The 12,778-nt window shown below is 47.6% G+C and overlaps 1 protein-coding gene across 1 annotated transcript in view, besides 1 other annotated feature; it reads right to left on the bottom strand.

The window, feature by feature from the left end:
• ACO2 (aconitase 2) overlaps positions 1-12,778 on the bottom strand; it is a 59,858-nt gene that overhangs the window by 45,915 nt on the left and 1,165 nt on the right. The gene's annotated exons all lie outside the window — the stretch shown is intronic.
• Positions 6,669-6,778: a silencer, noted in NCBI's record as "silent region_13791". NCBI's record gives its function as "represses an Ori minimal core promoter by ATAC-STARR-seq in GM12878 lymphoblastoid cells {active_cell/tissue: GM12878}" and the evidence as "EXISTENCE:reporter gene assay evidence [ECO:0000049][PMID:35858748]".

The following is a 12,778-nucleotide window of genomic DNA, read 5'->3' as shown; positions in this document are numbered from 1 at the left end:
GGCCTCGAGGCAGAAAATCTCCCCTCATCAACTCCCATAAGCCCCCTGGTTCAACATGACTAGGTCTGGAAGCTCACTCTCTTCCCAAAAGCCTATTCTACTACTGGTCAGTTCTAAGATTTTAAACTAATGCTTCTTAAATCAAATGAAAATGTGCCCCCATTACATCATTCCAGCTTTGGAGATCTGGGCTCAAATCCCAGCTCTGCCCCTTACAAGCTGTATAACCTTCTGTGGTTTTATTTAATCCCTCTAAACATCAATTTTTCCCATCTGTAAATGGGGATAATGCTTCACAGGCTGCAGTGAGGATGAAAGGAGAGAACCTAGACCAGTGCCTGGCACATGACAGGCCTAACTTCCTAGTCCTATCCTTTGGAACCAGATCAAATGAGGCTAGTCAGTCTTCCACAACCAGCCCTTCAAATCACTGAAAACCACAATTATGTCTTCTCCATCCTAAGCATCGTTATAGCACTTCCTCAGCCACAAAACAACTTCCTAATTTTACACCTAAGTGGGAGTCTCCCATCAGGGTGACCAGTAGCCAGATGCCCACAGATCTGTTTTGGAGTAACTATCACCTCCCACACATCTCTGTGTGACTCTTGTGAACCTTGCTGTGCATAGCTCAGCCTCCCTAACTGCCTGAAGCTGCAGAGGCTCAGAGACAGGAAGGGGCCTGCCTAAGGTCAAACAGCTGGGAACTTGCAGAGGCCGAGACTTTCTCCCTGTGCTACCGACAGTGTCTCCCAACCTCTGCTTCAGGCCCAGCGGCCAGGTGGGCTGAGTCCTCCAGGGGGTTGTTGGTCCCAACTGCTGACCCTAAGTGCCTTTGCTGAGTCTAGCTGGATGAGCCACAAATCTCCAGGGCTTCCAGGGAGTAAGGGAGGCTCTGCTGATCCTGCATCTACCAACACAGAACAGTGGGCAAACGCTGAGGGAAGGGGCATCCCCACAGCAGACCCCCACCGGGGAGCCAGGCACCACACGGCTAGGCAAGACAAGGGAAGAAAGGATGCTGCTGGCGAGATGACAACAGCTCTCTTACCCTAACAATTGTGCCAAGTGGGATTACTACAGGTCATTCTGTCCCTTGTTTACATGAGAAGACAGAGACTTGGACCAGATGGGAAAGTAAAGTCCACTAAAATATAAGCTCCATGGGGACAAAAAATGGTCTATTCTGGTCACAATATATTCAGAACCTAGGACAATGTCCAACACATAGAAGAAGTTCAAGAAAGACTTACTGATGAAACAGATGAAGGCAGAGCCGTGACACGACCACCGGCCTTCTGGATTGTGCTTTCAAACTCAAGTTAAGTGCCTCTGGCAGAAGCCGTGATGAGCAACAGCACGGGTTCAGAGCTGTGGCAGATGGGAAAAGGGCCCACCCCACGGCACATCACATGTACACCCACTCAGAACTCCCCACAACCCCACTCGGCCAAAGTCAGACATGCTGCCCTCTCTTCCCAAAGGACGGAGGTCGGAGGTCTTCCCTTGGGACCAGTTGTATTCAGAGAATACTACAATCGAAACGGACTGACCTATTCTCGGGCAGGCTTCTGCCCACCTTGTCCAGCATGGTGCATACAGCACTGCTTGTTGGGGAGCCATGTACCAGTGAGCCCCAGCATACAGAGCAAGCTACAGAGCTGAGGGTGCCGAGCCACCCAAACAGGCCAGGGTCCGGGAGAGGCCAGGTCTCTTGAGACAGTTGCTTTAACAACTGACAGAGAAGTCACCAAGCACTTGTCAGAGTGCCATCATGGAAACACTCCAAGACAAGTGCCGAGTCACAGAAATGGCATCCACTCTAGGGCTGGAGGGATCTGGCTTGGAATCTCAGCTTCCCTAGCTGTGGGACCTCAGGTAAGATTCTTTACCTCTCTGAGCCTTAATTTCCTCTTCTGTAACATGGGGGTAAAAGAGCAGAGATTTTGGCCGAGGGTAATGGCTCATGCCTGTAATCCCAGCACTTTAGGAAGCCGAGACAGGTGGATCACCACCACTCCTGAGCCCAGAGTTCAAGACCAGCTTAGGCAACAAAGCGAGACCCCCATCTCTACAAAAAAATACAAAAATTAGCCTGTGTCTATAGTCTGAGCTACTCAGGAGACTGAGGTGGGAGAATTGCTTGAGCCCAGGAGTTTGAGGCTGCTGTGAGCCAAGATCGAGCCACTGTACTGCAGCCTGGGTGACAGAGCAAGACTCCATCTCGGAAGAACAACAACAACAACAAAAATGGCAGAGATTTTGTGAGGATTAGAAAGACTTGTAAATACAGAGGAAAAGTCTAGAATGATAAACACAAAATTGCCCTGGGGACTGGGACGGGGAGAAGAGAGCTTTTATGAATATACTGCATTCTATTACAAAAAATATATACGAAAGGCATAGAGCTTGGTAGCTGGGCTTCTGGCAGGCATTCAATAAACGTAAGCTGCTATTACTCAGTTCGCCTGGGAGAATGAGATGCTGCTACTAAAACGTGGCCTGCCTGTGTACTGGGGAGAGGATTACGGGCAGATGTTTTTCCACTATGCCGCCTACTTCTCCCTCCCCAGCCACCAAAGACCAGAGCCCCAGAGCAGGTCCCAAGCACCAGGACAGCACATCTTGGAATTGAAATGGAACTGAAAAGGCCTCATCTATCCACTCCTTCTGTATTTGAATGCCTAACACACTCACCCAACCTAGCCAAGCTGTCTCCAGCAGTGGGGAACTCATACATTACACGGCAGCCCATTTCACAGAAGGATGACTTCGGGCTCACATCTCTTAGCAACTAACTGCCTAGCCCTTCCTGGCAGAGAAGTCTCAGGTGGACTCTGTCTAAGTGGGCAACACAGGAATGCACATCAGTCCACACCCTCCTAAGGAGAAGCATCTTCCCACACCTCCATTGCAGGGCTTCTAACAATTTTCTCCCCCTCCTGGTAGGCGATGCCTGGCTCCTCTCCTAAGAAATCAAAGCTAAACAATTCCCTCCTGCCAGCAGGCAGTCAGCTAGCTTGGTTGCTATGCAACTGGCAGGAACAAAAGTGATGCAGTCCTTTTCAGAGGCTTGGAAAGGGAGCAAGGAGCCATGTCTCTCCAAGTCAAAGCCTCTAAATGGGTACCAAAGGCAGCAGGGGGTTCCTTTAAGGAATAGGCTGATGACAGATTCGCTCATCTGACTAATTCTCTTTTGCTGCCTACATCAGTCGTACACTATGAACTGCATACAAATCCCAAGCCCTGCTCTGGCCCCACAGGCAGCAGCTCTGCACCTACACACTTGAGACGGGCATTCTCTGCAAGCTCAACAGGCAGCCTGTGAGGCTGAGCTGAAGCTCAGTCAAGGAATAAAGCTGCCTCTGTGCAACCCACCCCTCTAGCCTCTCCCCCACCAGCCTCACTGGTGTTTAGGGCAGGAGACAATCACAGTCTCAAAGACATAACCCAAACAGGCACAGAGCCGACTGAACTGTATCCCCTATATCCAGCCCACTCCACAGAGATCAGTTTCTACTCCCTCTGGGGAAACGGTTTGGCTGACTGGTAAAAAGCCTGGGTTCTGCAGTCAAATCTGCATCCATGTGCTAGCTGTGACCTCAGAGGAGCTATTTAACCTCTCTGGGACTCAGTTTCATCACTGTGAAACAGGCTACTCATATGTACTTCTTAGGGTTGTTGTGAAGGACAAATGAGGCAATATTTGTAAAACAAGACCTAGTTCTGTGACTGGCACAGAGGGCCTGATTGCTCAACAGATGGTGGGTAATGCGTTTCTCCGCTCCTCCAGGCCTGGATGGGCATCTGTCATTGTCTGTGGGCGGACCAAACACACCACCACTACATCCATGTTCCAGGACGGGTGGCTGAGGCTGTACTTAGTCCCACCCAGCAAATTCCCCCACCTACTCCTTGCTTCAGTACCGTGTATTATAGCTATTTAGATGACTTCTCCCTCACCACCCTAAAAGCTCTTCCACAGACAGGGCCCTTGTCTTAGAGCTCTGTGAACACACTCATGACACAGTGAGTGCTTATAAATACCACAACCACAGATGCCCTGCAGAAGGTCAAGGAGCCCGGCTACAAGGAACTAAAGAAGTGTGGCATACAAGAAAATTAACCAGGTGTGGTGGCGCATGCCTCTGGTCCCAGCTACTTGGGAGGCTGAGGCAGGAGAATTGCTTGAGCCCCAGAGGCAAAGGTTGCAGTGAGCAGAGATCGTGTCACTCACTGCACTCCAGCTTGGGCTACAGAGTGAGACTCCTTCTCAAAAAAAAAAAAAAAAAAAAGAAGATATGTGGCAGGGACAGGGCGGGGGTTTTAAAGGAACTCTAGATACCTCTTTGGTAAGTCCCACAAATGCCCACAGAATTAAAGCTCCCAATCAGAAACCATCTCAATCTCTCCAGGGGGAAAGCAGAAATACTCACCAGGCCTCAATTCACCAAGGGCCTAGACTTGAATATTTCATGATAAAAATAAATACTGCAAATATAACTCTAAAGCTCACTTCCCCAATGTTGTCCTTAGAGAATTAAAAAACTAAACCAAAAGATTCATTTCTACCTCTTCCCCCAACTCTTTTAAAACAGTATTGAAAGGGTTTTCTTGGCCAGGCGCAGTGGCTCACGCCTGTAATCTCAATATTTTGGGAAGCTGGGGCAGCTGGACCACTTGAGGTCAGGAGTTGGAGACCAGCTTTGCCAACAGGGTGAGACCCTGTCTCTACTAAAACAAAAAATACAAAAATTAGCTGGGCATGGTGGTGCGTGCCTGTGATCCCAGCTACTTGGGAGGCTGGGGCAAAAGAACTGCTTGAACCCAGGAGGTGGAGGTTGCAGTGAGATCATGCCACTGCATCCAGACTGAGCAACAGAGCGAGACTCTATCTTGAAAAAAAGGTTTCCTTGAACAACTACCACTTACCTGCTATCTGGGGAGATGATGGGAGGAACAAGCAATTTTCACAACTGGTTTGGTTTTTTTTTTGAGACAGAGTCTCGCTCTGTTGCCCAGGCTGGAGTGCAGCAGCGTGATCTCGGCTCACTGCATCCTCTGCTTCCTGAGTTCAAGCGATTCTTCTGCCTCAGCCTCCCAAGTAGCTGGGACTACAGGCGCACACCACCATGCCCGGCTCATATCTGTATTTTTAGTAGAGACGGGGTTTCACTACATTGGCCACACTGTTCTCAAACTCCTGACCTCGTGATCCACCCATCTCGGCCTCCCAAAGTGCTGGGATTACAGGCGTGAGCCACTGTGCCCGGCCACAACTGGTCTTTTTTAAACGTATGAGCTAAGGATAAAGGCTGGGGTGATGGATGCCGCGGGCCATCTGCAGGGGCTGGAGACAGAAATGAATATTCACCAAGTGCCTCTACCCTGCACTGGATTTGCCCCAAGTACTTTATCCACACAATCCCACGACTACCCTGTGAGGCAGAAGGCATTGTGCCCATTTAATGGATGAGGAAACTGAAGCTCTGGAATGCTAACTGTTTTGCCCAGGGTCACGCAGCAAGGTGGAATTCCAGGCCTGGCTCCAAAGCTGGTGCCCCTTCCTCTGGCCCAGGTGCTGCAGAATAAAACTAAAGAGGTCGGGTGCGGTGGCTCACGCCTGTAATCCCAGCACTTTGGGAGGCCGAGGCAGGTGGATCACAAGGTCAGGAGATTGAGACCATCCTGGCTAACACCGTGAAACCCCATCTCTACTAAAAAAAAAAATACAAAAAATTAGCTGGGCGTGGTGGCGGGTGCCTGTAGTCCCAGCTACGCAGGAGGCTGAGGCAGGAGAATGGCGTGAACCCGGGAGGCGGAGCTTGAACTGAGTGGAGATCGCGCCACTGCACTCCAGCCTGGGAGACAGAGCCAGACTCCGTCTCAAAAAAATAAATAAATAAATAAATAAATAAATAAATAAATAATATGGAAACCATTCTCCCTACCTTTAATTTACTTGGGAGGCTGAGGCAGGAGACTCGCTTGAACCTGATTCTCCTGCCTCAGTCTCCCAAGTAAATGGGATTACAGGTACACGCCACCATGCCCAGTTAATTTTTTGTATTTTAGTAGAGACAGAGTTTCACCATGTTGGCCAGGCTGGTCTTGAACTCCTGACCCCAAGTGATCCACCCACCTCGGCCTCCCAAAGTCCTGGGATTACAGCCGTGAGCTACCATGCCTGGCCCATTCTCCCTACCTTTCAAGACTTCCAAAATGAAGATATTCTACAAGGGGAAAATCTGTCCCTACTCTCAATCTTAGAAATGGCCTATTCCTAAAATAATATCAGAAACTATTTGCAGTGTGTGTGTTTTTTTGTTTTTTTGTTTTGTTTTGTTTTTGAGACAGAGTCTCGCTCTGTTGCCCAAGCTGGAGTACAGTGGCGCAATCTCGGCTCATTGCAAGCTCTGCCTCCCAGGTTCAAGCGATTCTCGTACCTCAGCCTCCCGAGTAGCTGGGTCTACAGGCGACCACCCACACACCCAGCTAATTTTTTTCTATTTTTAGTAGAGATGGAGTTTCACCATGTTGGTCAGGCTGGTCTCAAACTCCTGACCTCAGGTGATCTGCCTGCCTTGGCCTCCCAAAATGCTGGGATTACAGGTGTGAGCCACTGCGTCTGGCCTTTTTTTTTTTTTTTTTTAAGACAGAGTTTCATTCTTGTTGCCCAGGCTGGAGTGCAATGGCACAATCTTAACTCAGTACAACCTCCGCCTCCCAGGTTCAAACGATTCTCCTGTCTTAGCCCACAAAGTAACTGAGATTACAGGCATGCGCCACCACACCTGACTAATTTTGTATTTTAAGTACAGACGGGGTTTCACCATGTTGGTCAGGCTGGTCTTGAGCTCCTGACCTCAGGTGATCCACCTGCCTTGGGCTCCCAAAGTGCTGGGATTACAGGCATGAGGCACCACACCCGGCTCACAATGCTTTATAACACATCAAACAGAGTCAAAACAACTTTTCAAATATTAGGCCTTCAGAACCCTTCTTAACTGAAGGGTAGTTATTAATTACACTGTTTTGCAGATGTGTAACTAACTGCAGGACCACAGAGAGTTGAGACTTTGCCCGAAGCTACCCAGTAAGCCAGTGGCAGAAGTCTCCTAAGGCTCCTGAGGGTCCATCTGCTGCTTTTTTTTTTTTTTTTGAGACAGAGTTTCACCCTGTTGCCCAGGCTGGAGTGCAGTGGCGCGATCTCGGCTCACTGCAACCTCCACCTCCTGGGTTCAGCTGATTCTCCTGCCTCAGCCTCCTGAGTAGCTGGGATCACAGGCATGCGCCACCACGACTGGCTAATTTTTTTTTTGTATTTTTAGTAAAGATGGGGTTTCACCATATTGGCCAGGCTGGTCTCGAACTCCTGAGCTTGTGATCCACCCACCTCAGCCTCCCAAAGTGCTGGGATTACAGGCGTGAGCCACCACGTCCGGCCCATTTGCTGCTTTTTAAAGGCTACAAGAAGTCTCTCTACAATACCTTCCTTCCTTCATGCTGAGAGGCCCAGAGCCCACCACTGCCTTCCAAACCAGGTGCTGGGAAAACGAGGCAAGTCAAAGAAAGCTGGAGCCAAGGAAGACTCAACACTCTCTTCCCACTAGCCAGGCACAGTGGCTCGCGCCTATAATCCCAGCACTTTGGGAGCTCAGGAGTTCAAGACCAGCTTGGGTGACATGGCAAGATCCCCATCTCCACAAAAAATAAAAAATTAGTTGGGCATGGTGCCACATGCCTCTAGTCCCAGCTACTAGGGAGGCTGGGGTGGGAGGACTGCTTGAGCCCAGGAGGTCAAGGCTGCAGTGAGCTATAATTACACCACTGCACTCCAGCCTGGCTGACAGAATGAGGCCCTATCTCAAAAAAAAAAAAAAAAAAAAAGGAAAAAACAATTTTTTTTTTTTTATAAAAAAGGTAAGCATTTACAAGATGGCCCTCTTGGACACACACCAGGTTTCACAATAAGACCAGATAGGACAGAGTCCACATGAGACAATATGCTCATACTCGACTCAAGTGAGGGCCCCTGGGTAAGACACTTGACGTCATCTGGCTTTCTCACCTGTGAAATAAAGTACTTGAGAACTGATGAAAGAATCAAAAATTTATCAATGAGATTCTGCCCTTAGCTAATTTTTATAAGTACTGTGCAGGCCGGGTGCAGTGGCTCACGCCTGTAATCCCAGCACTTTGGGAGGCCGAGGCAGGCAGATCATGAGGTCAGGAGATCGAGACCATCCCGGCTAATAGTGAAACCCTGTCTCTACTAAAAATACAAAAAAAAATTAGCCAGGCATGGTAGCGGGCGCCTGTAGTTCCAGCTACTCAGGAGGCTGAGGCAGGAGAATGGCGTGAACCTGGGAGGCGGAGCTTGCAGTGAGCCAAGATCGCGCCACTGCACTCCAGCCTGGGTGACAGAGTGAGACTCCGTCTCAAAAAAAAAAAAAAAAAAAAAAAAGGCTAGGCGCAGTGGCTCACGCCTGTAATCCCAGCACTTTGGGAGGCAGAGGCGGGCGGATCATGAGGTCAGGAGATTGAGACCATCCTGGCTAACACGTGAAACCCGTCTCTACTAAAAACACACAAAAAATTAGCCAGACGTGGTGGCAGGCGCCTGTAGTCCCAGCAACTCGGGAGGCTGAGGCAGGAGAATGGCATGAACCCAGGAAGCAGAGCTTGCAGTGAGCCGAGATCGCGCCACTGCACCCCAGCCTGGGTGACAGAGCGAGACCCTGTCTCAAAAAAAAAAAAAAAAAAAAAATGACTGCAAACACACGACCACTGAATTCAATCAAGCTCACCCATCCCTCAGTTACTAAGACCCCAAACCCAGGAGTCACCCTTATTCTCTATCCCTCCCATGCGCCAACCCATCTGCCTCCAAATATATCCCAATTTTGAATACATCTCATTATCTCCACCCCCCAGATCCCTAGTCCCAGACTCCTCTGCCATTCCTGGGATGACTCCAACAGTCCCCCACTGGTCTCCCTGCCTCCTCCTTTTGACCCTCTATGGTCCATCATGCACGCAGCAGCCCAGATGATCAGATCACATCACTCCCTGGCTTAAAATCTCCCAGTTTTCACTACACTTGGATTTCCTTACCGAAGCCTGCCTGACCCTAGCCCCAGCCTCTTGTTCAGACCTTTCGCTCCTCAGGACACTGTAGCAACACTGGCCTTAGCTCTTATCCTCAACACACTCAGCTCATACCTAGGTGGGTGCTCTGCACATGCTCCTTCTATTTGAAGTCTCCTCCAAAAATGGTAAACAGCTGCGTTCGTATCATTTAAGTCCCAGTTCAGATGTCACCTCTTCTACGAGGTCTTCCCCAAACACCCCAGTTAAAAATGCCATGTTCCCACCCCTATTCTCTCTACCTTATCTTCCCCACAACACTCAGTAATACAATATTCTTATTTTTCTACGTAATTTCCCCAGGACAACAATTTAAGCCCCACTATTCTTGTTCACTACTGCACCCCCAGTGTCTAGAACAATGCTAGGCAGTGCTAGACATTAAGCTTTTTCTTTCTTTTTCTTGAGACAGAGTTTCACTCTTGTTGCCCAGGCTGGAGTGTAATGGCGTGATCTCGGTTCACTGCAACCTCCACCTCCTGGGTTCAAGTGATTCTCCTGCCTCAGCCTCCCGAGTGGCTGGGATTACAGGCATGTGCCACCACACCCGGCTTATTTTGTGTTTTTATTAGCTATTGGGTTTCACCATGTTGGCCAGGCTGGTCTTGAATTTCTGATCTCAGGTGATGCATCTGCCTTGGCCTCCCAATGTGCTGGAATTACAGGCGTGAGCCACCGAGCCCAGCCAAAGCTTTCAAAGAACACTGTGAAGCAGTTGGTTTGAAAGGTAATGCTGTGCTCCCTTAATCCTCAGGATGGTGTGTCTGTTCCCTCTGTCCACATCTAAGATGGAAGCTTATTTACCAATTCATTCACTCAATTCTAATAACAACTGATATCTGCGAAGGTTATCACAGTGACCATACAACCAGAATCATCTGTTTCACAATTCAAACCAAGATTTTATTTTAACATGGCACAGAGTTTCTGCCAAATATTTTTGTAGTTAACTGCCATCACAAATTTATATGCAAGAGGTTACATGACTTCCCCCAAGGTCACATGAAACCTCAGCACCCCAGTTATCTCAAGGCAAAACCAAACACCTAATAAACATACTTGCAACTGCTCAGCCCCTCTTGTGTACTACTCAGTCATATGCACAAAAATAAATGCTAAAAACCAGAGAATAAATGTGGTTTTTCAAAAATCTCACCTCCTTAGCTGGTTGCAGTGGCTCACGCTTGTAATCTCAGCACTTTGGGAAGCCAAGCCAGGATTGCTTGAGCCCAGGAATTTGAGACTAGCCTGGGCAACATAGCGAGACCCCCATTTCTTTAAAAAAACAAAACAAAATAAAACAAAACCCACGTTCTATTTTCTTATTTCTAATCTTACTACCTGGTAGCAGGTACTGTCAAACGAGAGTACACATTCAACTTGGCACTGTTCTGAGGTTATGGTGCCCTGATCCACAGGCTGAGCTCGATGCCAAAGGGAAGCAGCATAGTGCCAGTTGCTAAGCCCTCAGGCTTCGGAATCAGACATGTCCAGATTCAAACCATACCTACTAACAACTACTGATAAAGCCCCAGGCAATTTTTTTTTTTTTTTTTTGAGACGGAGTCTCACTCTGTCACCCAGGCTGTAGTGCAGTGGCGCGATCTCGGCTTACTGCAACTTCCGCCTCCTGGGTTCAAGGGATTCTTCTGCCTCAGCCTCCCGAGTAGCTGGGACTACAGGCGCCTGCCACCACACCCAGCTAATTTTTGTGTTTTTAGTAGAGATGGGGTTTCACCATATTGGCCAGGCTGGTCTCGAACTCCTGACCTTGTGATCCACCTGCCTTGGCCTCCCAAAGTGCTGGGATTACAGGCGTGAGACACTGCACCCTGCCACAAATTTATTTAGCAATTATATAGCCCTTATTAAGTACCAGGCAGGGTTCTAAATACTTTACAACTATTACATGATTGAAACAGACATACTATTATTATTGTATCTAAAGGCAAGGAAACAGGTGCAGAGAGGTTGAGTAACTTACCCAAAACACAGCTACATGAGTGTTAGAGTCATTACGGTATTCAAATCTAGGCTGCCTGATGCCAGAGTCCATGCTCTCAACCATAACACTATGTTTGCTCTCTAATCCTGTTTCTTCATCTATAAATCAGGCTAATAGGCCTGCCTCATCTCACAGAGTCATGTGAAATTAGTCATACACAGTAAGATAAATGTTAGGTACTCTTAGTGCTGGGAGTAACACCCATCATTCTATTATCTACCTTCACCTTTGGTCCAGCCAAGGAAAGAAAAATACTATATTTGGCTGAGAAAGATCTCCAAGGCCCTCTGCAGTCAGGTACATTAGAATACAGTGGAAGCTCCACGAGAACAGGGACTGTCTTTGCTTACCACGGTATCCAGAACAAGCATTGGGCGCTCAGTAAATATATGGTGAATGAGGTAGGAATGAATTGACTACAGGCATAGGGTTTTGCATACATGACTATTAAGGTAGTAACCATCACTTCTCAAATGTATCTAAGCACAAAAGGGGTAAATATACAAGCTTCTCAGAGAAACCGTGTTAGTTGGTTATTTGAGACAGCCTGGTTATTGGGAGGCAGTGTGCAAACTGCATAATATTGTTCATTCATCTTAGCTGAAGGAACAAACAAGGAGACCAGGATTTTAATCCTGACTCTGCTACTGGAAGTCACCCAGGCTCTCAAGGTCTTAGATTTTTCCACCTGTATAAGAGGTTAGTCTACGTGATGGTTGTAAACTCATTCTACTTGCTCATCACTTTCTAACATCCACTTGCTGAATATACATTTGTTCAATGAAGATCATCTCCAATGGACAATGGATTCAGGAAGTAACTTACTCAAGGTCACAGGATCAGGAAAGAGAGCCCAGATCTCCTTCTACACCAGTCTAATACTCATACTTTCCAAGATCCTTTTCGGTTCAAAATGGTGTGATACTATTCTTCTCTTCCAAGTTCAAGAACTCTATAATCATTTATCTTATCAAATAATCTTGCCTGACTCCCTTAAATCATGAGACAGGAAGAAACAACTATTTCCACATCATTAACCTAGAGAATCAAAAGACGTGAAGAGGCCAGGTGTGGTGGCTCACACCTGTAATCCCAGGACTTTGGGAGGCCAAGGCAGGCCGATTACTTGAGGTCAGGAGTTTGTGACCAGCCTGGTCAACAGGGTGAAACCCCGTCTCTACTAAAAATACAAAAATTAGCCAAGCATGGTGGTGCACACCTGTAATCCCAGCTACTCGGGAAGCTGAGGGCAGGAGAGTCACTTGAACCCAGGAGGCAGAGTTGCAGTCAGCCAAGATTGCGCCATTGCACTCCAGCCTGGGTGACAGAGCAAGACTGTCTCAAAAAAAAAAAAAAAAAAAAAAAAAAAAAAAAAAGATGTAAAGAGATAATTAGGTGCAAATCCTTTCCCTTAGCCCGGAATTGAGATCAGAAATATTTTCTTTCAGATAAATGATGATTTTACTTTAAACCATATGGTTTCAATTTAAGCAATGTGATGAAAAATAAGTTCAAGTTTAAATTTAAGCAATGTGATGAAAAATAAGTTCAAGTACCACAAGCTTCCTGAGAGTACAACGCATAACAACTCGTAAAATTCTATTATCAAAGTTGCGCCACTTG

This window comes from Homo sapiens, chromosome 22, assembly GCF_000001405.40.
Source record: "Homo sapiens chromosome 22, GRCh38.p14 Primary Assembly".
NCBI classification, from domain to species: domain Eukaryota; kingdom Metazoa; phylum Chordata; class Mammalia; order Primates; family Hominidae; genus Homo; species Homo sapiens.
The sequence above is the reverse complement of the archived record's forward strand: the minus strand, read 5'-3'. Positions and strand labels throughout refer to the sequence as shown.